The sequence below is a fragment of the Homo sapiens genome, chromosome 21 (assembly GCF_000001405.40).
Source record: "Homo sapiens chromosome 21, GRCh38.p14 Primary Assembly".
NCBI lineage: Eukaryota > Metazoa > Chordata > Mammalia > Primates > Hominidae > Homo > Homo sapiens.
In genome coordinates, this window is record NC_000021.9 from 15,045,023 (window position 1) to 15,071,727 (window position 26,705).

At 39.2% G+C, this 26,705-nt stretch overlaps 1 protein-coding gene and 1 long non-coding RNA gene across 22 annotated transcripts in view, besides 7 other annotated features; one reads left to right on the forward strand and one right to left on the reverse strand.

The window, feature by feature from the left end:
- Positions 1-20,914, reverse strand: part of NRIP1 (nuclear receptor interacting protein 1) — a 104,702-nt gene extending 83,788 nt beyond the window's left edge. For 10 of the 21 annotated variants that reach the window (NM_001439284.1, NM_001439285.1, NM_001439280.1 and 7 more), the window contains exon 1: positions 19,723-19,978. The gene's annotated coding sequence lies outside the window, so the exon portion shown is untranslated. Of the gene's footprint in view, positions 1-269; positions 9,221-18,814; positions 19,569-19,722; positions 19,979-20,702 lie in introns of those variants that run through there. The other 11 variants (NM_001439278.1, NM_001439276.1, NM_001439275.1 and 8 more) reach the window with 4 other exon arrangements.
- Positions 12,176-12,225: an enhancer, noted in NCBI's record as "active region_18288". NCBI's record gives its function as "activates an Ori minimal core promoter by ATAC-STARR-seq in GM12878 lymphoblastoid cells {active_cell/tissue: GM12878}" and the evidence as "EXISTENCE:reporter gene assay evidence [ECO:0000049][PMID:35858748]".
- Positions 12,446-12,495: an enhancer, noted in NCBI's record as "active region_18289". NCBI's record gives its function as "activates an Ori minimal core promoter by ATAC-STARR-seq in GM12878 lymphoblastoid cells {active_cell/tissue: GM12878}" and the evidence as "EXISTENCE:reporter gene assay evidence [ECO:0000049][PMID:35858748]".
- Positions 13,871-13,920: an enhancer, noted in NCBI's record as "active region_18290". NCBI's record gives its function as "activates an Ori minimal core promoter by ATAC-STARR-seq in GM12878 lymphoblastoid cells {active_cell/tissue: GM12878}" and the evidence as "EXISTENCE:reporter gene assay evidence [ECO:0000049][PMID:35858748]".
- Positions 18,330-18,379: an enhancer, noted in NCBI's record as "active region_18291". NCBI's record gives its function as "activates an Ori minimal core promoter by ATAC-STARR-seq in GM12878 lymphoblastoid cells {active_cell/tissue: GM12878}" and the evidence as "EXISTENCE:reporter gene assay evidence [ECO:0000049][PMID:35858748]".
- Positions 19,210-20,069: a silencer, noted in NCBI's record as "silent region_13216". NCBI's record gives its function as "represses an Ori minimal core promoter by ATAC-STARR-seq in GM12878 lymphoblastoid cells {active_cell/tissue: GM12878}" and the evidence as "EXISTENCE:reporter gene assay evidence [ECO:0000049][PMID:35858748]".
- Positions 20,320-20,499: a silencer, noted in NCBI's record as "silent region_13217". NCBI's record gives its function as "represses an Ori minimal core promoter by ATAC-STARR-seq in GM12878 lymphoblastoid cells {active_cell/tissue: GM12878}" and the evidence as "EXISTENCE:reporter gene assay evidence [ECO:0000049][PMID:35858748]".
- Positions 20,830-20,879: an enhancer, noted in NCBI's record as "active region_18292". NCBI's record gives its function as "activates an Ori minimal core promoter by ATAC-STARR-seq in GM12878 lymphoblastoid cells {active_cell/tissue: GM12878}" and the evidence as "EXISTENCE:reporter gene assay evidence [ECO:0000049][PMID:35858748]".
- LINC02920 (long intergenic non-protein coding RNA 2920) lies at positions 22,048-22,815 on the forward strand. Its single transcript, NR_186411.1, has 2 exons — positions 22,048-22,190; positions 22,513-22,815. It is a non-coding gene; the product is annotated as a long intergenic non-protein coding RNA 2920 (long non-coding RNA).

The following is a 26,705-nucleotide window of genomic DNA, read 5'->3' on the forward strand; positions in this document are numbered from 1 at the left end:
AAATATATGCCTTTAATTACTACACACACATGCACATTCTCTCTCTCATCCACTCATTCACTGTCAGTTCTTCATCAGTAAGACTCCTCCAGTATCTTATTTCAATGCTCTCCTAATCCCCCCGGCCCAGACAATCAGCCTGGTTGGGTGGTAGGTGTCCATTCTACCCAGATGAGTTGGGACTCTAGTGTCGCTGTCTGACGTCCTATACCAACCAGCATGGTACTCAGGCATTATTAATACAAGTCTCTAAGCACATAAAGGCATACCTCAGAGATATAGTGGGTTCCATTCCAGATCACTAAAATAAAGCAAATATCACAATAAAGCAAGTCACACAAGTTTTTTGGTTTCCTAGTGCACATAAAAGTTATGTTTACACTGTACTATAGTCTATTAAGTGTGCAAAAGCTTTATGTCGAAACAATGTACATACCTTAGTATAAAAATACTTTATTGCTAAAAATGCTAACAATCATGTGAATCTTTAGAGAGTTTTACTCTTCAGTGGTGGGCACCTTGCCTCCATATTGATGGCTGCCAAATGATCAGGCTTGTGGTTGCTGAAGGTTGGGGTCTCTGTAATGATTTCTTAAAACAAGACAACAATGAAGTTTGCCACATCGGCTGATTCTTCCTTTCACAGAATAATTCTCTGTAGCATGTAATGCTGTTTGATAGCATTTTACCCACAGTAGAATATCTTTCTAGATGGGAGTCAATCCTCTCAAACCCTGCCACTGTTTTATCAATTATGTTTACATGATATTCTAAATCCTTCGTTGTTATTTCAACAATGTTCACAGTATCTTCAATCAGGAGTAGATTCCATCTCTAGTAACTACTTTCTTTGCTCATCTATAAGGAGTAACTCCTCATCCGTCCATGTTTTCTCATGAGATTATACAAATTCAGTCACATCTTCAGGCTCCACTTCTAATTCTAGTTTTCTTGCAATTTCCACCACATCTGCAGTTACTTCCTCCACTGATGTCTTCAACCCGCCAAAGTTATCCATAAGGGGTGGAAGCAGCTTCTTTCAAACTCCTATTAATGTTAGTATTTTGACCTCCTCCCATTAATCACAAATGTTCTCAATGGCATCTAGAATGGTGAATCCTTTTCAGAAGGTTTACAATTGCCTTTGCCCAGATCCATCAGAGGAATCACTATCTATGGCAACTACAGCTTCACAAGATGTATTTCTTCAATAGTAAGACTTGAAAGTTGAAATTACTCCTTGATCCACAGGCTACAGAATAGATGTTGTATTAGCAGCCATGAAAATTAACATTAACTTCCTTGTACATCTCCATCAGAGCTCTTGAGTGACCAGGTGCGTGGTCAATAAACAGTAATATTTCGATAGGAATCTTTTTTTTCTGAGCAGTTGGTCTCAAGAGGGGGCCTAAAATATTCAGCAAACCATGCTGTAAACAGATGTTCTGTCATCCAGGCTTCTTCTTCCATTTATACAGCATAGGTAGAAGAGATTTAGTATAATTCTTAAGGGGCTTAGGATTTTTGGAATGGCCAAACATTGGTTTCCACTTCAAGTCACCAGCTGTATTATCCACTAACAAGAAAGTCAGTTTGTCCTTTGAGGTTCTGAGGCCAGGCATTGGTTTCTCCTCTCTAGCTATTAAAGTCCTAGATGGCATATTCATCCAACAGAAGGCTGTTTCATTTACACTGAAAATCTGCTGTTTAATGTAGCCATCTTCATCAATGATCTTACCTAGATCTTCTGGAAGCTTGCTGTAGCTTCTACATCAGCATTACCTGCTTCATCGTGCACTTTTATGTTATCCAGGCAGCTTCTATCCTTAAACTTCATGAACAAACCTCTGCTAGCTTCCAACTTTTCTTCTGCAGTTTCTTCATCTCCTCTCGGCCTTTGTGGAATTAGAGTGAGGCGCTGCTCTGGATTAGGTTTTGGCTTAAGGGAATGTTATGGCTGCTTTGATTTTCTAGGCAGACTACTAAAATATTCTCCATATTAGCAATAAGGCTGTCTATTAGTCCGTTCTCACACAGCTATGAAAAAATGCCCGAGACTGGGTAATTTATAAAGGAAAGAGGTTTCATTGACTCAGAGTTCCGCATTGTTGGGGAGGTCTCAGGAAACTTAAAATCATGGCAGAAGGTGAGGGGAAAGCAAGGCACCTTCTTCACAAGGCAGCAGGAAGAAGTGCCAAGCAAAGTGGGAAAAGCCTCTTATAAAACCATCAGATCTCGGCCGGGCGCGGTGGCTCACGCCTGTAATTCCAGCACTTTGGGAGGCCGAGGCAGGCAGATCACGAGGTCAGGAGACAGAGACCATCCTGGCTAACATGGTGAAACCCCATCTCTACTAAAAATCAAAAAATTAGCCAGGCGTGGTGGCGGGCGCCTGTGGTCCCAGCTACTTGGGAGGCTGAGGCGGGAGAATGGCGTGAACCCAGGAGGCGGAGCTTGCAGTGAGCTGAGACCGCGCCACTGCACTCCAGCCTGGGCGGCAGAGCGAGACTTCTTCTCAGAAATAAATAAATCATTAAAATTAAATTAAAAAACCATCAGATCTCATGAGAACTCACTATCACGAGAACAGCATGGGGGTAACTGCCTCCATGATTCAATTACCTCCCACTGGGTCCCTCCCAGGACACATGGGGAGTATAGGAACTACAATTCAAGATGAGATTTGGGTGGAGACACAGCCAAACCATATCAGGCTGCTTTGTGTTCTTATCATTCATGTGTTCACTGGAGTAGCACTTTTAATGTCCTTTAAGAACTTTTCCTTTTACATTCACAACTTGGTGAACTGGCACAAGAGGCCTAGCTTTCAGAAGAGCTTGGCTTTTGACATGCCTTCCTCACTGAGCTTAACCTTTTCTAGCTCTTGATTTAAAGTAAGAGACCTACAACTTTTCCTTGCATTTAAATACTTAGCCATTATAGGGTTATTAATTGGCCTAATTTCAATATTGTTGTGTCTCAAGGAACAGGGAATCCCAAGGAAAGGGAGATGAGATGGGGGAACAGCCAGTCTGTAAAGCAGTCAGACCACACTGAACAAGTTCGCCGGCTGATATGGGCACAGTTCATGGTACCTCAAAACAATCACAATAGTAACATCAAAGATCACTGATTACAGATCACCATGACACATATAATAATATGAAAAAGTTTTATATATTGTGAGAATTATCAAAACATGACCACAAAGACACAAACTGAAAACATGCTGTTGAAAAAATGGTACTTGCTCAATGCAGGGCTGCCACAAACCTTCAGTTTGTAAAAAACAAAATTATCTTCAAAGAGCAGTAAAGTGAAGCACAATAAAATGAAGTATGCCTACACATCAGCAACACCAAAGCTACCCTACATCATTAACAGGGTATGTCACCTAAGTGTATAAGTCAAAGATATCTAGAATCTTAACTACAGGCAGGATGTTCCCAAAATCTTAGTCGACAGAAGGCATCTCCTCAAAATAGAGTTTATAATCAGACAAAAACAAACAGAACCTGAAGAGACCTCCAGGTGATAAAGGAAAAACAAAAAGCATTATCATTTCCTATTAGGACATTACTTTTTTAGGAGCTAAATAAAAACATTACCAAATCATTTTATGTAATAAAATTTAACCTTATTTTGACCTTTCTCATAAAGCAAATAAACCTCTCTATCCAATAAGGTTCCATCTGAACTATGTAAGATGATAGGCAATACCTTAATTGCATTCATTTACATGACTCTGAAACTATTCTGGGCTGAAGTCACTGACCGCAAGGTCACAGAATACAAAAAAGTAGAATGTGTGTAATTTACCAAGGAGAAATGATCCACTTAGACAGTGTGGCAGCACCTTTTCCATCCTTCATTAGGGGATACTAAATGCTTAATGCAATCAACAGGTGTAGACATCTCCATTTAAAATATATCATACAAATACATACACACACACACGTATTCATTTTACAAATATATAAATAACACTAAAATATATATTTGAATAAGTCCATCATATATTATGGCTTTCTTCTTAAAATTAATCTGCCTAAATAAAGAACAATTCTATACCCTAATAGCATTTAGAAGCAAAATACAATATAGGGCCATTATTTTCCCATTGTCTTATAAAATTTCTAACACCTAATATTCAGGTTACAAAGCTATAGTTTTAGGAAAAGAATTTAAAACACAGGATGCCAAGTATGTTAAGAGTTCTTGCTTTCATTTTTTATAACCTAAACACGAATATATTCAACTAATTTGCTTAGAGAAGCATAGTTTACATGTCTCAAATCCAATAATACTATATTAATAAAAGAAAAGAGGTACAATAGATTGACAGATTAACAATCATAGATTACAGGGGATAATGTGTATTCTCCAAAACCTCAAGAGTATATCAAAACACACACACACAAAAGTTAACCCTACAAATTATTTCCCTTTAGCTTTGTAAAATGCAATTGTAACACAAACAAGGTATTATTGGCACTTGAAGTTACTGGAGAAAAGAGAAGGAACTCAAAAGAATAGGATTTAGGGTACTTTTTAAATGTTTATAATATTAGTACATATGCAGACTGTGAAGTATTTGTTTCAGGTTTAATACAACATCACCAAAAGATTCATTTAAACAGTTTCCACACATTAAATTAGGTAAATCTCTCACATTTAATTTACTATCCAAGCACTTTTACACTACTCAAGCCAATCTTTTGCAACTTACAAATGATTTAATGAAAAAAAAGCTATGATATTATAAAATTCATGCTTCTTCATTTTCTCTCCCTATAGAGAAGGGCAAAACTTTTCTTACGTAAATCTATATTAGATCCAAATCATTTCAAGAGATGCTACTCCACAAAGAACACACAGATGGACATATATTTAATTAATATATTCCTAAAAAACTTCAATACATGATGTCACTTTGTCCTTTGTAAATGAGAAATAAAATTTCTCAATGTCTTCTTATAAGTTAAGCCAATTCACTTTGGATTAGCTTAGTTTTAAAATAAATGCATACATATACATAATAAAATACTAATTCCTATTGTTATCTACATATAACTTTCAGTGACCACATCTTGGTATTTTAATTTTCTTTCTATAAGAAACAATTCAGAGTCAGACATGAAATATATGTGTGTAACTAGGTAACAGGCAATATTTGGTTCCTATTCTTTGACAAGGATAAGCTATTGAGACCAATCAGAACCTTCCAATGTGTTTCCAATGTTCTTGGCTACATTTCTACTTAAACTCAAACCTCAGGAAGAATATAATCTGTTAAGATAACTTTTGTTTTTCTCAAACATTCTCTCTCTGCCTATCCCAAAAGAATCAATCAATGCTTTATGTTACTAAGTTCACTGATTATGAGGACAATGTCTGAAGATTTCATACACATAATATTGGGATCTTCCCTTTCCTTGAATTTCAGAATATGTTGGAGCCAATTTCTATAACCAAAACGTAGTATTTGTGTATCTTTAAATGAGCTACAATCCAGAACTGAAAATGAACTATACTAATGGCATCGCACTTAACAACTTTCAATGAAGAAAGAAATAGGTTAGAGTCTAAGTTCAAACACACTTCAAACTCACGTGACCACAGTAAATCCTACCCTTAAAGCAAGTACATATGTGTGTATTGTTTATGTTTCTTATTTTCTGTATATTATGATGGTTTTGACTCCTTTCTGGCTGGGAAGAGATTGCCCCTCTAGGGGCCAGCCAACGCTTAGAGAAGGCAAAGGACTCAGCGTGCCTTTCACATGCAAACTAAACAATCCACAGCGATACCTCCTCTACCTGACCCATACACCCAGGAGGCAATATTCCCCTGCCTGGTATCTACCAGGCAAACTAGGGATCACTCTTACAGTTTAGAGCCTGTATACCTATAACTTATTCAAAGCTACTATTATTACACACCTATAGCTTATTAGTAGTAGTAGCAGTAGCATTTACCTACAGCTAATGCAAACTAGCGAATCCTAAACTTGGTTACCCGCCCTGCCTTGCCTTTCCCACAGATACTCCAGAAACGGCTGCAGCCCGGTCTCTCTTCTAGCTCCTGCCCCTTTGGCCCCTAGACCAACACTGGGGCTTTCTCATGTGGCCCTGAATGGCATGCTGTGCCTCCGAGAACTCATGAGTATAATAAACTTTGTTTTCCTGAGCCCCTCCTGGGTCTCCTTTTCACATGCACCTGACTGACCACATAAAAGAACACAGAACTCTGTGTGTGTGTGCGCGTGTGTGTGTCATTTTCATTTTATTTTCCCTTGTTCAGGTGGTCAATAAAAAATTATTACACCTTTAAAAAGAGGTACCTAAATAAACAAACCTACCAATTCTGTATGCAAAATTAAATCCTGGACTGGCAGTGTTGCTCAGATAACACTCAGAAAAGAACAATGTGACTGAAACTGTAAGGAACAGGTCAAAAACACTCCATTTAAAATGTGAACACCTGCTACAGAATATTTTGATTCACAAGTCCATCTAGGAAATATTTTTCTTCCTCCCTCACCTGTTCCCCCACCTATCTTGCATTCAACACCATAAACAGCACTTATCCCCCATTATAAAACAGTTGACGGTTAAAACAATGAGCCAACCAAGAAAGTATAATACTCTATAACTGACATTTACTGCATTGGCCTTGGACTTCTAATCTTTACCAGACGGGCACACAAATCAATCCATCAGCTCATAAAGGTGTGCTTTTTTAACCTCTAAAACAGATGGGATTGGCCAGAAGTGTCTGGCATGTCAAACTGCTAATCACTGCTGCCCTTTGCACAAAATAACCCACTTAAGTTGAGGCATGGTTGCACTGTAACCGACATTAGTCTGTGGGAAACCCATTTAACTGTCACACACTCCTGCCACTCCTGCTCTCCCTTAATTAAGCCTAATGCCTTATGCTTTGACCTTTTGTTCTAGCCTATTAACCCTATCTAGTACAAGTTCAATTATGTTAAGCTAAAAACTTTGCTGTAAAATATTAAATGCCAAGCTCAAAAAATCATAAGGGACATCCTCTCAGCCCTAAGTTCTATTCACCCTGATACTCAATACATTTGAAAGTAAAACCTCACTTTCGAAGTAACGCTGATACTGAAGCAAGGAGATGTTGAATGACTCACCCATTTCATAGCTTTTCCGTGGCAAAGCCTCACTAAAACCTATCTAATCCCTAGCTCCAATTCTTTAATCTCCATGGTGCTTCTGATTAATAGTTAAACCACCCGGAAGTATGTTAAGGATACTAACATTTTCACCCCGAAGTATTATCCTTCGCCATCCTCTAGAATATGCTATGCAAAGAGGCCTAAAACAAAATAAACTGCGACTTCAGCAGCTGAGAAGTAATGATTCCTTTCCCCTCCCACACATCAAAACTTCCTATCCTATCCCCTCACTACTTTTTTTCCTTTTTAAAAGTAACAATGGTCATTGAGAACTACTAAATCCTGCAACACTCACAAGGTAGTATGTACAACCACAGTTTTCCCCCGCGATACTTCACTGAAGTATTCAATACAGCCAATGACTTAAACTACAGAAGGTAATTACAACTTGCTACTTATCCTCACTGGACAAATTCACGCAGCATATCTTTTCAAATACGTCTTTTTTACACCTATATGCATATGAATTGCTGCTCACATTTACCAGAATTCCAAAAAACACAATGAAAAACACTTCCTAATTCACTGTAAAATAAAACAAAACGTAGTCCAAAGTAACATGCTATCATTAAAGATAGTTTTACCACAGTGATGTATACTGTTATTTTTCCTTCCATTTACTTCATACAATTAAAAAAAAGGTTCCTACCACTCTCACTGTGACACATAAACAACTTAAAGATCAGTAACATAAAACAAAATTTGAATTTCTGATTGGTATAAAGAAATCCATATTAATTTTAGATTTTCAAAAGATTTAAAGTCAGATTTTAATTTTACTTTTGTTGACTGCCCAAAGGCCCATTTTTACCTATTCTCAATATTAACAAATATTGTCAGCTTTTGCCTTTAGCAACCCTAAACTTTACAGTTTTAAAGTAACATGCCATTAAACAGAATATACAATGATTTTGCAAAAGCAAGATCGTTTAGAGTACTGCCAAAACAATGAATAATCTCAATGAGATAATTTATTAAAGGAGGAAAAAAGAGAACGAGAGTTTAAAATTCACAGTGAATGTGTTTGTGTTGTTAGAATGATGCCTGCAAAGGAAAGCATTCCTTGGCATTATCGGGAGGAATACCCATGGATGTGTAAAATGTAAAATAAATAGATAGATGTATGGTCAAAGCTAAGCAAACACTTGTATCAGGGGCAACTACCAGGAACTTTAGTTTTATTCACCCTTTTCATTGCAAAGGATAATAGTGTTAATTTTGATCAGATGTCATGCCTTAGCTACAACTTTTAGTTCATGAAATAAAAATTAAGTTTGGGTGTCTGCTGAGGAATCCAACAGTGGGAAATTCACACTCACAACTAATTTATAGAAATTCACACATTTCTATAACATACCGACTGACACTAATGAACAATGAGGGAAAAAATTGTTCAGGAATTCAGGATAAGTAAGCACTGGAGGAAAGCACACAGTAGAACACAGTGCATAAATAGTAAATGTGCTCATTTTTCTGCCCTTTTACTTCATATATTAGTCCATTAGCTTGTTCCTTTTTGCTATGATTTACAAGCAGGTGAATACACAGAAATATGAGCCAAAAGAAATATACTGTCAAATACTCATGAAGTTACCTTTGTTAAACAAAAAAGAAACAACAAACAACTTTGTCTTCACAAAGCAAGAAACTAGGTTAAAGTTATTTTAAGAGCATCTGTTAAAAATCAGTGTTATAAATATATATCCATATAATTTATTTTCTATTAGCATTTTAAAATAAATTTCTCGTCTAGAAATCTCTGAGCTCCATTTCAAAATAATTTTATTTTCTGTCTCTTACCAGCAGTTATTAATGTAGTTGAATATGACTCTTAGAAAAGAGTCAGGAAATTCACCTTCAGTGAAGAGCAAATCCTAATTTTTAAAACATAGATGGGCTTCATATACTACTTAATCCCATAACTTACCAAGTTCTGAATCATCAACTGTTCTTGATACCCTCTTAACTTTTAAGGTTACTGCACACCAAAATGAACTCTGGATGTGAAATGTTAAGATTTCCACCTTACCAAGCCGTCAAATCCAAGGCAGTTAAGTGTGCCCAGCTGGCGGGTCCCTTTGACTACAGGAAGTGATGCTAAGGAAACTGCCTAGTAGGCTCCAGAAATATTTGTATTCATTTCCTTACAAAAAAAATGTTGCCCCCAAAGATTTTGCTAAACGTTTTCTAATATAATTTGCGTATTACTGAAGAAATGTAATATTACAAAACAAATTATTTCAAGTACCAATTAATTATAATGTCAATAACAGTCAGTTTCACTTTTTCCCTCATAATTAGTATGCCTGGAAAGAAGAAGATACATTTTAAGGAAAAAATATTGTTCCTTTTAAAAGTCCTAATTTAAACAGACTAAAGAAAAAACGTGGAAGAGCTTCCATTATTCATAAGTTACACATAATAATTAACAACTGCTATGCATAAATACATAAAGGTTCTACTGCTGTGCCAAATTTTGCCAGTGGTTGGGACTGGTACAGTTCAATTTAACAAATGCTTATAGACATCCTTCTGTGTGCCAGACACTTACAGGACCAACAGTACACTGATGAATAAGCTCCTATTCATGGAGTTCTACCAAGGAAAACAGCTATAACACAAGTTTAACTTTTACAATCAGGGCGTACACAAAACTGTGAAAGAAAATCTGATCTTGTTAGAGGCTTGGGGACAGAAGTAAGCCTACAAACTCCCTTGCCCACTGTCCCATGAGGGAGAATATTCCTTTCCAATTTGTTTCACCAACATCAGGAACGTGGCCAGTGTGTGGTCCATGAAAAGGTCTACACATAGGTTTCTTCTCTCTTGCTCTCTTTTCTAGGGGTGTAGACCAACGTGCACTTGGTTCATGGCACATTATCACCACTGGTCCACACAGTGCCCCCTCATCTTATTTGTTACCTTTCTCAAGAGAATAGAGGAATGGGGTCCATAAACTTTGAGATATGTTTCCAGTTGAACCAACAGACCCAACCACCTACATTAATGGTGTTGGAATACTACTCATCAGTAAAAAGTAGAGCTGGCCTGTGAGTGTTCTGGTCAACTAAAGGTATCTGGCTCTCTTTGTCTGCAAATAAATAGCAAGTCTCCCTACTTCTTTTTAAATAAAATTCCAAATGTACGTAACATGTAAAACAATGCCACTGCATGAACATGTACATAACTGTACTATTCTTTTTTTAAATTCTCAGCCTGGAAATTACATTTCAAGTACTAGAATATTCAACAAATCCTAAGACTTTTATGAAGACCATGAGAAGAAAATAAGGTACTAGAACAAAAGTGATGCAGCCAGCCAATTCTCGTTTCATGTCTCAAGACCCAGTTCTTATTATTATAGATCCCTTTGTGGGGTTAGCTTGGATTTTACTGCGGGATCCATCACCAAAGGTTATTAACTATTCCTTAACACCTGGTACACAAACCCCTCTTTCTGAGACTGCTTTGACAAAAATAAACAAAAAAGTGTGAAATAAATCAAGATTTGACTGACCATCCTAGGTCTACCCAACTGCTAGCTGAATGACTTTCAAAACGTCTTTAAATTCTTAAGGACTCAATTTCTTCCTCCGTAAAATGCAGATAGTAACTGTTTTGGGCATTTTAACTTAACAGCAATAACAAAAACTACAGGAAGATAAGTAATTATTGACCCCATTGTATCACATGGATCCCCTGGCAATTAAAAAAAAAGATGAATGAGATATTAAGAAATAAAAAGGAAAACAGAGTAAAGACAAAACAGAAATAAAGAAGGAAACCCAAAAGGAAAGAAAATGGCACATAAGCACTAAATGGTAGCATTTTATCATTATTTTATTTATAGTCTACACTAACTGTGTGCTCTTCCATACAAAAGATGCATCTAAAAACTAACTTGTTTGATAAATGGGGGGAGGACAAGGTGCCTCTAAGATAGGTGTGCTTAAATCCAGAGCAGCCGTAGCTTTTATCAAATTCTCTTCCAACCTGAAAAATCTAACGATTCTATGAAATAACTTCAATTTGTGAAAGCCCAAGCAAAAGAAATTCAAAGTTAAAAAAAAAAAAAAAAGAAAATGTGACTTTGACTCAGGTCAGTCAAGTATTACCAGGATAGATAAAAGTAGATTTTTAGCAATACAGTTAACAATGGGTCTTGCCACAATAATAGCAAACATCCAGATATTGGAAAGGAATCAGATGGTAAATTTAAAAAAGACTGTTTTCAATCCTTATATTTGGCTTCACATAGATTCAGTGTATTTTAATTCATTTTTTTTTAAAAAGCATGGATCAGTTAAGGAAATAATATAAGTTCATTCTGATCTTTAGGAAGACATTCTTCCCCCCATATTGTTCACTTTGACAATTTCTCTTTTTTCTTATTTGGCCAAAATATAACGTATTCTCTAAACAAAACACAGATGTTTCCTTTGCAGCTTTTATACAAATCTCTTGCTTTTCCAACATGATTTGGCAACTCAAAATCCAAAGCACCCTAGAAAATATTATGTTTACACGTCTTATTATTCATCTTTGTGTCTCCAATATAGTTTCAATTTGACTATACCTTTCAGTGTATAGGGAACCACTCAGCTTGAATCTTTTAGGTTCAAAAATTCCATAAATTTTAAATGAGGCAAGTAAAAGGAGGTGGAGAAGCTCATAACTCCATTTCTTATGGCTTTAACAATAAAAGAACGTACCTGGTATGTACTTAAAAATGTACTATGTGCCACAAAGCTCCCCCACTCAACAATCTCCCTCCTGACACAGTCTACCCTCAAAATAAAGTCAACTACTCCTCATCTCTCTGCTTCCACTTCCTTCCAATTCACAAATACATTGTTAATTTCCTCTTTGCATTTCAGAGAGCAGTTTATCAGCACAGGATAGTCTTTAACAAAATTGTTGTGAGTGAAGATAGGGTAATTAAAAAAAAAATCATGTTAAGAACTGTTAATAGTCAAGAGTTGTAACTTTTCAACCAGGAAGAGCTATGGTTCTGAATTTGCTACAACTGCTCCTTGAAGTGGACAAACATAACTAGCCTTGGGAACACTCAGTTTAAGACCATGACAAGCTATTTCAATGAATTATATAAAGAAACATAGTTGCTTTCACTGCCTCAAATAACACCGCAGTAATTCTGTGATACACTTCAGAAGAGTTAGCACTGGAGGGAAAAGAGCCTGTGCGGCAGCCCTTGGTGACTACATTTCCCTCCAGCGCAATGCAGGTAGCAGGACATCAGCGCTTTGAGAACTAGCATAAGCTGCTGCAGAATCATCGACTGGCAACAATGTGCCTTCCCAGAGAGCCTGGTCTTGGAGAATCCAGGCTATGAGGCTTGCAAATGCTGCATGAGTTTTATGGCTACCAGGTTGGGAGCAAGGTTTTTTAACGGCTTCCTGAATGTCAGATGGCAACTGGTTTTTTCTTCAAACAATGGCATATTCTTTAAGAAAATCAAATTATCAATGAAATTTGCCATGTGACCACAGGCAAGTTAACTATTCTTGCATTTTTCAGACTAGGTTTCCTTATCTCTAAACTAGAGAAAATGATACCTACATGTCACAGGGGAACTGGAAGGATTAAAAGACAAAATGTGTGTAAAGCTTCCAGCACAATGTCTGGCACAAAACGGTTGCCCCAAAAAGTTCAATACTCTTCCTTTCCCTGCTCCCCCTCCCAACAAAACAGGAAAAGGCAACAGCCAAGTAACTAAACAACTTCTTAATATTCCAAGTTTCTACCCAATCATCTCTTCTTCTTTTAAAACCACAGGCTTGAAATCTTTACTGTTTACTGTCAACAACGGCATATACTGCTGTACAGTCAGAATTTTAGAATTTAGAAATCAAATATAACCCCCTTATTCAACAGATGCTGCCGGGGGAGATAAAAGGGCTTTCCTTTTATCTGTATCATCTTGATTTAGTAGCAGAACCTAAACTCGAAAAATAAACGTGGAATAACAGGAATACTATTTTTTAACATGTTTTTCAAAAATCAAACCTGAGCCTACATAACCCATTGTGCAAACAGTCCCTTTAGGAGAAAAACTGCAACTGTGATTAATTTCTCTCAAGAATATTTATTTCCCATTTGGAGAGTTTCACATGTTTCCAAACATATTTTCTTGATGTCCTCCATGTCATTGTGTATTCTCTCCTTCCCTTAATTTGTTTCTTTTCCAGTGTATAAATCTATTGCTCTATTATAGATTATTATAATATAAACTCATAAATTCAGGAATTTAAAAAAAATCTTTAAAAGCATGCTTCTCAGAAATCATTACACTCTGTTAAACACTTGCTATCTCTCAACTTCTAGATAGATTCCTCAAGAGAGAAGTCCTTTTTTCATTCTGAACTTCTAATTCTCAAATTTTGATTGTGTCCTGTTAGTTACCAAACACACCATTATACTACTACTCTCATTTCAATATTGTACATAAACGATTCCCCATCTTACTAATGAAATGCTTTTTTAAAGCAGTAACATATTTAACATGTGCACATGTTATGAAGAGTATAGGCAAACTCAACTATTAAAAACATGTAACTATAAGGAAAGCCATCTTAGACACTATATGTGACTACAGCTAAGCTTTTCTCTTAAGTATCTAAAGCAAATCACCAGACTTTTACATAGTACCCTCACATAGCTAGATAAGAAAGTAAAAGTAAAATAATGAAAGCAGACTCTAAACAGCAGAAGCTCCAAACTCCTTAGTTTCTCTGTTGTGCTCAATCCTTTAGCAAATTACAGGCCTGAAAACAAGGAGTAGCTCTATCACTTAACAAGTGACTAAGGAATGACTTTGTTAATTAGAAGTCCAAGGGTGAGAGGCTCCTTTCCACCAAAGCTCTGAATAAACATCAACATCAGGTCAACCAGAGTTGTCTTGGTCCCAGGAGTAGCTTAAGCGGATGACTCAAATTCCCAGCAGAATTCTAGTTTAATATTTATTGGAACTCCGAGCTTAGTCACACAGTGACTTGGAATTTAAGACACATGGGGTCTCTTCTTTCCATCCTTAAAGATATTTTTGCTAAGTGACACAAAGTTAAAGAGGCAAGATGGGTTTTAATTTAGAGTTTTTATTCCCTGAGGTGTAAGAAATTAAAATTTTATTTTCTGGGGAGAGTGAACCATACTAGCTCTGAATTTCAAACACAACTATTAACCCTGTCAGATAATTCTATTATCAAGTTTTACAAAACTGTTTACTATTATTATTTTTTTTTGCTACCCCAGCCCTATGTATTGAAAGTGGAAAGAAGGAAGGGAGGGAAGGAGGGAAGGAGAGAGGGAGAATGGATGAATGGATGTATGTCACAATCACCTTTCTAGCCAAAACTGCAACATATGCTGGAGTTCTTGAAATTATTTCAACCAAAAAAAGAATCACAGGACTCATAATTTGTTTAGCAGGTAATTATTTGCCCCATTATCTTCAAGAACAATCTATCTTAAAACTGTGTATAGCTTTTTAAGAAATCTTAATACTAAGAGGATCCTTTTTTTCATAACCCCAAAGAGTGTTTTCTTCCTCTATTTTTGAATTGCCAGCCTTCTCAATTCTTTAAATCTGATTCACATTATACTACTTTTAGAGTTCTAGGCTAAATGTTTATCCATAGCATGATTCAAGGTATTAATTTCAACAAAATACTAATATAATGATAAAATGTATCACATTTATTTTCAACTCTTTCCTATTCTTCTGATTTAAGAACTTAAAGAAAAATATTTTATGTTTCGGGTGCATTTTGATAAGCTAAAATACCACAACTTTTGTAATTCTTCATTTGTAATATTTGCAAGATAGTGTAGGGATCAATTTGAATTTCAAGGTTCATGATATAGAGTATGTACCATAACAGTGAGAAAAGTTAGTATAAATTCCTACTCATCTCAGTTTCTATATTTATTGCAACAAATTAAAACTGCATTTCATAACTCGTAGTAAAACAAAAGGAAAGTTCTGTTTTAAATAAACTCCAACCTTCAGAATCCTATACATTCAGTATCCATCAACCTGAACACTAAATTTCAAGAAAAAACAACAGATGGGCATCCATATAATAGTTTGCAAAGAAACCCTGATAAGACTTCAGGAGTTTCTGTGGTCTCTATTTTCCCCCTACCATGAATCATAGGTAATGTGCTTAAATAAAGCATTATTTCTGCAGTTATTTACATGTTTATCTTTATCAGAGATCCTATAAAAGAATTATCCAGTTCACCACCCAAACTTTAGCACTCAGAACACGGTTTTCCCTGTTGATGAAGACCCTTGTAAAATTCCAGATCTTAAAAGATTAAAGAAAATGTGATCTAATATTAATTCATTTTCCTCCAAAGTATAACTCCTGATTCCATGCTGGTACCCAATTTTGATCCTCTACTTTAAAGATATCTCAGAGACATTCAAAACAAAGTGTGAACATGCACAAAAGGGGAACTTGTCGTTTCTCTCCCTCAAACAACCACTATTTATATAATATTGCTGGCCTCCTAAAAGAGAATAGAATCCATTACCATCAGCAATTCATGTCTCTGCTTCAGCATCAGATGCAAACAGGATACAGAAACTAGATCTCTCTCCTCCATTTACTTTTTGTTCATTCCAACCTCTCGACATAATCTTCAGTTCCATTCCAATGGCCTGTTTCACCATCTGACACTCCTGGTTTTTACCTTCTCAAGTCTTAGTGGCCATAGTGGTGTTACATTTCTCTAATTGTTGTGTTATCTAAATACTACAGGATGAGCCTGCTCATTCCCCCTCCCCCAAAAGTCCCTGAAAAAACTACAACTTAAGGAAATGCAACTTGAACCTTTTTAGTTCACAGATTCAAACTCATATCCTGCAAGACCCTAGCATATCTTGTTGAAAATTTTCTTTGACTTTTCAACAGTAGTCAAGATTATTTTAATGAAAATATTTCTCCAGTTGGAAGACATGGGTATACAGGACTTTGCTAGAACGGCAAATGCTTTTTCCCAGTCTTCATCCGTGTAACAGTAAATCGTTATTAAACAAACACACAGAACAAAACCCACTCTGATTGTGTATCAATCACCTGAAGGGGCAGAAGGGAAAAGTACAAGAGTGAAGAAACTTCTCCCCACCCACAGCCAAGAAGGAACGCTGCAACTAAGGCAGTTTTTCATGGAAGAAAATATCCAAAGATCTAGACAGTGTTTATTTTAGAAAAGGGGAAGAGAGCAAGGGAGGGAGGGAAATGGTAGGGAAGGGACTACCATTTCCTCTTACTAACCTACATTAAAAACTAATTGTATCAAGCAATCTCAAATGCGAAAAGCAAAACTGACCCTAGCACAATTTAAAGTGAATAATGTTTTCCTTGACAAAAATTCGGTATTTTAAACTCATTCTGAGCAAAATTATCTTTTAACCTGATACACCAAACTATTACTGCTTTTCCCAAACAACAGTTAGAACATGAGCTTTTGAGTTTCTTACATTCTTTACGTTTTAAAATTAAAAGCCAAATTCCTTTAACCTCATATATCCTAAGCCACTCTGATTTAAAATTACTTCTATGTCATTGTCTTCTAGCATTGGTCTGCAATAGAATCTGTGCAATTAACAATAATCTTCTTCCCTCTGATCTTTCTAGAGTCAAGGATGGCATATCTCCTTATCTTATTTGTTCCATTAGATTGGCATATTTTGCCTCATCTGTCACCTTCTATCAAACTCTGCTTTCAGATATGCGTTAATTCATTTTTAGTTGTCCTCAATGTTCTAAAATAGTGATGTTTGACAGAATTAATACAGTGCTCTAGTTCTTTCTGTTCAACTGGTATTTAATTAAAGATCTTGGAGGCCATCTTTCTCTCAGGCTACACCACTTAAAGGAGGAACATTACTTCCTCCATGGACAATGTGATAAGCCACATGGCAACAAAGCTGCCTCCCTAAGGTCTCTCATTTAATAGACTGCTTTACCACATATAAACTACCAGCAAAACAGATTATCACTTTAATTCACATTGATTTTACTCTTCATATCTCTGAATCACAACTCTGTCATGGGCTGCGTTCTCTCTTAACTTCTGAATTTCCAGAATTTCTGTAGTTGTAATGCTCTCCTGTATTTTTGCTTTTGTTTCATCTGGACTTCAAAAAGTTCTAATGGCATCTGATTGGGAAGATTTCTTGAATCTCTGATAACAACGCAGAAGTCTTTAAGCAATCAGAACTGCCTTGGCGCACAAACTGAAAACTCCGTTTTAAAATCTTCTGAATTAACATCTTTTGGAGAATAGCCCACTCAACTTGATATGTCATAATTTTCAATTCTAAAGGTGGCACGGATAATTTAAAGTGGCACTTGCTATTTATTACTTAAATAATTGTTCTCTTGGACGGGCTTTTGAAAGCTAGTACTTCTTAATCATTTTCGACTATATCAGAACTGTAACAGACATGTCAATTTAAGCAAACTTCATGAGCAATAAACTAACAAACAGACTCTAGGTGGTGGTATAGGTTATTTTTTATCATGATGTTTTGCACTTATAACTGCAAGAGTCAGAAAAGCCTTTAGTCTCTTCACACACTTCTTTAGTGCAAAGTTAACAATATTTTAGGGTGTTAAAATTAGCAAAATCCAAGTTCTGCAGAGTTTAGAAATGCATGTAAAAGAGGCATTAAACCTGGTTTTCAACTAACTTCCCACAGGCATTAAACCTGGTTTTTCAACTAACTCATTTGAATAAAATCAACAACGAACAGTCCTTTTTTTTTTCTGTTATGTTCTGATGTATATTTTACTCACACTCCTAGGGCACTTTTAAAGGTAAGTTTGGAAAGAGGTCTTTCTCCACCAGAGTATGAAACAGACTAGAACAACCAATCCTACAACCTGCAGGGCAGTAGCCGCTCCACTAATTGATTCTCCTTCTTTGTCTCTAGGAACTATGCCCAGGCAGAAAAAAAGTTACTGTAGGTGATGAAGCCAGTGCTCCCTGAACCAAATAAACCCTATCGACGTTACCGAACTGCCGGGCAAAACCAGAGCAACTCACTTACTTGGAAGGTGAAAAACACTTCAACATACTCCAGGCGGCAACCGACACTTAGGGGCCAGGCAGATGAAACACCATTTGTTTAAAAAGTCTATTATTTCACTGTCTCTTCAACAAAGGTGGAAAACTGATGATTAAACACTGAATAATGCCACCCACTTACTAAACCTATGATTCACTAATAAGCAGGTTCAATGCAATTCATAACTTTAAAGAATGAATTACCGAAGCCCCTTGCTTCACAAATTCCCCCAAGAAACAGAAAGAGCATTCATCACATATAACCCGACAACCATTTTTACTATGGACACCTACAGATGGCTTCTCTTCCTCTAAGGACACAATTTCCTTCACAATCCCACATGTAATCATTTACAATACCAGAAACAAACTCCAACTCAGTTCCACCAACTGGGTTTTTAAAAATCCTTGTGCCTAAGAACGTCTTTTTTCCCCAAAGTAAAATGTGCCATTAAAAAATATTTTTAAAACGCAAAAGTGCTTATCATTCCGTACTTCTTTTACTACCTTCAGCAGCCAATTATTGACGTGATAAAAGGTAGAAACTCCTGGAATGCTTCAGAGATCAACATGTGTCACAGACTCCCAGCCTGTCCGCCTCTAAGACACAGTTGGTTCCTTTGTTCCTTCTGACTGAACACCAACTCCTGATCAAAATTGGGAAACTACTTTGGAAGGGATGGGAGGGTCTGCAGAATACATCCACGGAAACCTTCATAAAACAATATTCAATCGTAATAAGGTGGACACAGAAGAAGGGAGAAAAGGCAGCCTCCCGGACTTCCACCGGGCTCACCCTAAATGGGGGCCGGCCCCTGGCTCCTGGTAAAATGATGGCTGAGGCCTCGGGTCCGTGAGCCTCGCCATCGGGAGGGGACCGCGAGTGCGGGCAGAGCGGCCCGGGGTCGGGTGGGGGCCGGGCGAGCTGTCCCTTTTCCTATTCACTTTCCCAGCCGGGTATCCAGCGAGCAAGGAGCAGGGAGGCACCCAGGCGAAAGGCGCCGCCCAGGATCCGGCTGGACAGCAGGACGGAGAGCGGCGAGGCGAGCGGTGCCCGGGGTTCGGGACCGAGAGGGCAAGCGAGCGGGGGCAACCCCGACCCGGCCCCCCGAGTCCGGCCCCGCTCAGGGGCCACGCGACGGCCGCCCCCTTGCCCAGAACTGGCACGGACGGGCGGGCCGACCCGGGGCCACTCCACAACTTGCCGGCCCGCCGCCCCGGCCCCCCGCGAGAACCCGGAGACTCGAACCAGGCAGCAGAGGCAGGATTTCCCCGGAAACGCGCCCTCCCCGCCGCCCCGACGCCCCCGCGGCCCTGCCAGCCAAGCGAGAGCCGACGCGGGCCGCGCTCCCGGGCCGTTTCCGGCGGCGCCGGCGGCCGCTACTCCTGGCGCCCTGGCCGCGGCCGTCACTCACCCCAGGCCGCCGCGGCTCCCAGCCTCCGGCTCCGTCAGGCTCGGTCCGCGAAGGCGCCTGCCGCCCCGTCCTGGCCCGGCGCCCCGGCGAGCTCTTCCCTCCGACCAGCGGCGCTCACGGCGCAGCGGCGGACGCGAGGCCACGGGCGGACGGGCGCGCGCGGGTGGCGGGCGGGCGTGGGGCCGGGTCGTCCCTGCGCCTCGCCGCCGCCTCCTCCGCCGCCGCCTCCCGAGTTCGGGGCTCTGCTGCAATGTCTGCGAGGCTGACTTTGAGCGCCTCGCTCACCGCCCGCCCGCAGCCGCGCTCCTCCCTCCGCCGCCGAGTCCGCCGCGGCCCAGTCCCTCCCCTCGCCGCCCCACGCCATTCAGCTCTTCAGCCAAGTTTCTTAACCCTTTTCTCCCCCTCCCTCCCATTGTCACCCGGTCAGGAGGAAGCCGCGCGGATCCGGGCGGCTCACAGGAGCTGCGGAACCCCCTCTGTTTCGTGGATTTCCTTCTCGCCTGCTCTCCGGGTGTCCCAGACGGGGCTGCAAGACCCGGAGGCAGCGAGAGGACCGCGTCCCCGAGAGAGGGGCTGCACGGCGCGCCCGGGCCGTCCCCCGGGCTCCCAGCTCTGTCCAGCCGCCCGCGACCGCTGCAGGCGCCTGGACAGCTCCTCCTGGGGACCGGGGAAAGCGCTCTTGGGACCCAGGCCGAATGCTCCCGTTTGGGCACAGCCTGGGGGCCGGGGCGCCCCAGACGCTCCAGGGTCCCCGCCTGCCTTAAGCGTCTACCTCCTCCCCTTCACCCCACAACACGCGCTCTCTGGGCCCCCTTTCACCCACCCACCCCCAATTTCTATCTCCTTGTAATCTGTGTGTCCTGCTTTAATGTTGGGGGGCACGGGCGCGAACTCTGGGTCACTTTGACCCCACGCCCAGCACGTAGTAGGCGCCCAGCACTCGTGTGGAGCGACTCTGGGAGGAAAACTAGGAAGGAGACCTGAGGAGCGCCCCGCTCAGCTCCCTGGACAGACGTAGGACCCAGGAGCAGGGTTAATCCTCGGCTGCTTTGTCACTGCGAAGTCTCCAGCGGAGTCTGTCAGCCAATCTGCATCATCCCCGGGAAGGATCTGACCCAACAAGACAAGGGAAAAGGAGCAGGGCTGCTACTTCTTCAGCAGCTCTCCTCGGTTCGGTCTCCGAATAAGAAATAACAATTACATCACGAGGCCGGGGCGGCAGCGCGGTGGAGCCTCTCGGTTTCCTGCAGCCTAATCTCACTGAACCCGCCTCTAAATTGGGGGGGCCACAGATTGGTGAAACGAGAAAGTGGAAGGAGGAGAGAGTCATACGAAACCATAATTTCCCCTTATCCTTGTATTTGCTGTTTGAAAAATCGTATCCTCAACGCTCCCCAGACATCTCACTAGAACTATTAACACCCCCTCAACACCTCCCCAGATGTCAGGTTTCTTTTTGACTTGAGCATCTAGCATTTAGTAATTCGCCATGAAAAAAATTACCAGGGGAAGCGAGTGTTGTTGCTGAAATTGTTTTTGCTTGACACAAAAAAGCTAAAGTACAGCTTAGTCTCACCCGAAATTCTGAAACGGCATGCCCGTGTTAAAACACTTATTACATAAGACAAATGAGCCGATGAGGCACTCCATTCTTATATGTAGGTTTTCATATCCTGAAGAATTTGATAGCATTTGGAAATGAAGTTGCTAATGCGCTTAAAAAACAAAAACTATCCAAGTCATGAAACTGTATTCTGTGCCTGTTATGTAATGGCTGTATTGTGTATTGCAAATTTCACTTAACCTTTAAACAATATGAATGAGAGTTTTAGAATACTGTCACAGTCTTGAAAGTGAAAGCAATTTTTCAAATTAATGCTTAATAAATTCAGCACCCAGCACAGTGCCGGGCACATAGTGCCAATGTTTTCCTTAGTGGCAATGGCACATTTTAAAACAATTATTTTTCATCACCCTAGTGATTGAACTATGCAATCTGTTGCCATTTTATATAGTTAAACCTCATATAATATAATACCATATTATTTGCATATACCACAATTCAAAATCTGCTCTAGGCAAAATAAAGTCTGCTGTTTTTTAGTGCATCATTTATTCAGAATTGATACAAAGCAAACCGTTTCAATTCAATGATGACCAGCATAATTGGAGCTTGGCCCTTAGTGGGGGGTCAAACTTTTTTTATGAAAATTATTTTTAACCATTATACAGATTTTTCTACAATGTATTGCAAATGTTTCTCTTAAGCAGTTTGTTGAACGTCATTTAGCATTTTCTTGATAATTCAATGTTAATTTTATTAAAAGTAATTATTGTAGTAGGTTGTAGCGGATTCAGTAAATATATCCAGTTCCTATTCTATATTCTTTCTAGGTGTTAGGAATGCTCCCAGGAGGTACAAAAGCTATCAGTCGCTGCACCGAAGGACTCTAGGATGCTATGACTTAGTGATTATCTCTGCCTTTTGTAATTTCTCTCTCTCCCCCTTCACTAACTGACAATCTATTGTCCTTACTGTTACTAGCATAGCTGCCACTAACATTCTCCTCATCTTCTGATGGGTAACTTCCAGTCTAGTGCGGACTGGGAATCCAGATAGCCTCACTTGTCACAATTCTGTCTAAAGTAAACTTAATAGGTTCTGGGTAAGGGACTAATGGGCTCACCAAGGAGTAGGGCGCACACACACCTTAGTGCATAGACTTTGGGAAAGATATTTGGACTACTCAAGTCTATCTTTTAAATACATTCCTCTTACTTCTTAACCAGGTTTTGGACCATGGAGATTGCCCAGCAAGCCGAGAATATTCCAGCCCTCCAACATTGTTGTTAAAAAGTCCACTGCTGTATGTTAGGTGACTTCCCAAAGCTGCTCACTACTTCTTCTTATTCTGTTTTCTCAACCCCACAAAAATCCAATCACTGAAATCCTGAACTCTTTTGATAGTGGCATGAGTGTTAAGTAAATTGCACACCTCTTGTGGAATTCATTTTCACTTAATCATGCTAATTATGTGGAGACTTGTTTGTTGTTGTTCTTTGTTTTTTTAAGTAAATCAATACCTAAATTTCCTGGCTAACAGAGTCATTGCAAGGATACTAGGGCATTATATGTAATATAAGAATGCCTATTTGGTAATTTGTACTTTGAAGTCAAGTCTCATTTGAATCATTTGTGATGTGAAAACAATGCTGTTGGGTTTATATACTTAAACACCTAATTATTGTTTTACGTCCAGGGTTCCTGTGGGATCACATGCCTTTAGTTCAGTCTCAGTATACCTCTCCGCCACAAAGATGTAGTCTGGGTGTGTTCTCTAGCCTTTGGTTCTGTAGCCTTTGGTGTGTTCTCTAAATCTCTCCTCTATAGCATTTTCAAAAACCGTTTTGTTAGTGGGTATTTGCTTGTCCGTATCCCACTGTAGAATGCAAGCAGTACAGGCACAGGGTCCATATCCCTCTCATTCACATTTGGGGACTTCCAGCTACCCATCCCTGTGCCCAGCAGACAATAGACATTCAGTAGATATTGGCCAACATACTGTCATACCCCAGAGGACAGAATGTATCTTTCTCTTGGGGTCCTGGCTGTGATGTAAGGGAGTTCAGAGAACATTTTGCAGAGAAAATAATGCTTCCGCTGGCCATTAAAAGGTTAAAAGAATTAGCCATGTAGGCAAAGTGGGAAAAGAGGTTCTCAGGAGAGGACATAGACTGTTCAACAGTAGAGAGGTATGAGAAGACAAAAATATGCACTGAGAAGTATTGAGCCCATATTTACACTATGGAGTGAACTATGACACCTGAGTAGGGAGAAATATGTGTAATATAATAGATCACAGACAAATGGAACCCCACTGCAGTTACCTTATTAGCCACAGTCCCTTAGCCTCTGGAGCAGCACTGACCAATAAAAACATAAAGTGAACCACAAATGTGAGCCACATAAGGAATGTTAAATTTTCTGGTAGTTATATTCAAAAGTACAGAGGAACAGGTAAAATTAATTATAATAATGCACTTTAACCCAATACATCAAAAATTACCATTTCATGTCTATACAACATACAGAATTATTAATTAGATATTTTACAATCTTTTACAGTCTTCAAAATCCAGTGTGTCTTTTACATTTATAGCACATCTTCATTTGGACTAGTCTTATTCCAGGGCTCAACAGCCACATGTGGCTAACAACTACCATATCAGGTAGTGCAGCTCCAGAGAATGTAGGAAATATTTAATAATATAGTTTAAGAAAAGTTTCTTAAGAGGAAAATCTAAATCTTGTTAACTCTAAAAGCTTATGCCGATTATTAGTGTTGAATTATGCTAGGTTATAAAGACCACCTTCTTGTGTTTAGACTTTTACGCCAATTTAGAGAATCAGCAAAGTTTGCATTTTATGTACTGTGTCTTCATTAACGATGCTGTAGTTACAACTACTTCTATCTCTATTAACTATGGTGGTGGACTGTAAATGTAAACTGTCTTTATGGCAGAAATAAAACGCTATAGATTTGGGGTTGACTAAGCTTTAAAAAAAATTCTCTCTACAGTATGAAGCTATCTCTTCTATGCAGTTACTGCCAAGCATCTTCCTAGCTGTAGAAGTCCAGGATTTTGCTCTCTAATTCTTTTATGCCCAGTTACTTGTAGATGACAAAAACCACCCTGACCTTTGTTTGAGGCAGTCGCCTACCTGAAGCTGCAGTAAGGATTTGCTGCAGCTCCCTGAGTACCAAGAAAGGTCTAAAGAGCTGACTTGAAGATGCTTAGACACCCTCTCTGCAGGTTACTGTGCAGCTTTCCCTAATGAGATTGGAGCCCTTTTGGTTTCATTGGGATTTGAGTGTGGAAGACTGGCAAATCCAGGGCACTCATTTTCTACACTAAAATGAATCTTGAAAACTGTATCTTTTTAAAAAAAGTCTGAGAATGATTGTGTACAAGTAGCCAAACCTGTGCAAGGAAAAGGCAGATACTTTAATGAAATGCATATGTGGTTGATGCCGTCTCATTCCTTCTCAAAACAAGAAAATGTCTAGTATAGTTACAGGGTTAGAAAAACCAAGAAGTCCCAACGAAGCAAGGAAAACCTGTCAGTTTTAATAATGTGTCAGTTTGATATGTCTAAATGATTGAGAGTAAATATCACATGAAATCTTTCCTTTTATGTAGAAATGGCGTATGCAGCTCTCATTAGGCAGTCCTGTCGTAAATGCATATGAAAGTTTCCTTTAAGGGATTTCACAAACATAGGACCATGTTATGAATCAATTCAGTAAAAACATGATCCTATTATTTTTAGAGATATATTTAGATAGACTTCAACTAAAGAAAAGTGAAGAACACATCTGTTTTTCCAAATAATTCAGGGTTCTAAAGGGAAGAAAGATACAAAGAAAGCATGATGTATGCTTACTATTTGTATAATTGTTTGGCTCTCAAAAGAAGACATAGACACTGACCTATCTGTTTTAGATTAGTTTAAGAAACATGAAAATCTCGTGTAATTTTTCTTTTCACAAAGAATTTGAACACACACACACACACACACACACACACAATTGCATGCAATTCAATGGTGGAAAGAATCATCTTTTCAACACATGGTGCTATGATATCTACATGCAGAAGAATGAAATTGGACTCCTTCACATCATATACAAAAATTTACTCAAAATGAAATGTAGACCTAAATGTAAGAACTAAACTATTAAACTCTTAGAAGAATATATTGCAGTAAATCCTTGTGACCTCTGTTAGGCAAAACCTTCTTAGCTATGACACTGAAAGCATGAATAACAAAAAATAGATAAATTGTACTGAAGTCAAATTTAAAATCTTGTGTGTTTCAATGGATACCATCAAGAAAATGAAAAGATAACCCATAGAATAGGAGAAAATATTTGCAAATCATATATCAGGTAAGGGACCCATATCTAGACTATATAAAAAACTCTTACAACTCAATAATAAAAAGGCAAATACCCAGTTTTTAAAATGAGCAAAGTGTCTGCATAGACATTTCTCCGAAGAAGATGTACATCAAGCACATGAAAAGTTACTCCATAGGATTAGCCATTAGGGAAGTGCAAATCAAAATCACAGTGTGATGCTACTTCACACTCAAGGCAAATGACTATAATAGAAAAAAAAAAGATGAAAACAAGTGTTGGTGAGCATGTAGAGTCATTGGAACACTCAATTGTTATTCCTTATTGATGCATAGCAAATCGCTTCAAAATTTAGTGGCTTAAAACAAGAAACACTTATTATCTCATAGTTTCTGGGGGCAAAGAATGCAGGAACAGCCTAGCTGGATGGTTCTGACACAAGGTCTCTCATGTGGCTGCAGTCAGGGTGTTGGCAGGGCCTGTGGTCATGCGAGGCTTGCCTAGGTCTGGAGGATCGAATTGCAAGAAGGCACCCTCACATGGTTGTTGACAGGAGGCCTCAGATTCCTGCCACATGGGCCTCTCCTCAGGCTGCTTGAGTATCCTCATGATGTGGCAGCTAACTTCCACTAGAGCAAGCCGTCCAAGAAAGGGCGAGAGCGAAGCCACAGTGTCCTTTCTGACCCGGTCTCCTAATTCACACATGGTTACTTCCATTTTATTCTATTAATTAGAAGTGAGTCCCTAAGTTCATTCCACACTCAAAATGGAAAGTCATCTTGAAGGGAGGAGTAGCAAATAATTTGTGAACAGATTTTAAAACCACCACAGCACGCAATTCACATTTTTGCCTGTGGTCTGCCTCTTTGGTTTCCTAAACCAACTTGCATGTCCTTGTTTCCATACACTGAACAGGCTCACTGCCTCCCTCAAGGGAACAAGACTTAAGCGTCTTCTGGTTACTGCATCAAATCTATTGCTTAAGAATTCTGGGTGATATGCAGCACTCCCAGGATGCCCCGATGAGGCCCCTTGAAGGCTGGTAAACGGGCGTGCTTTCAG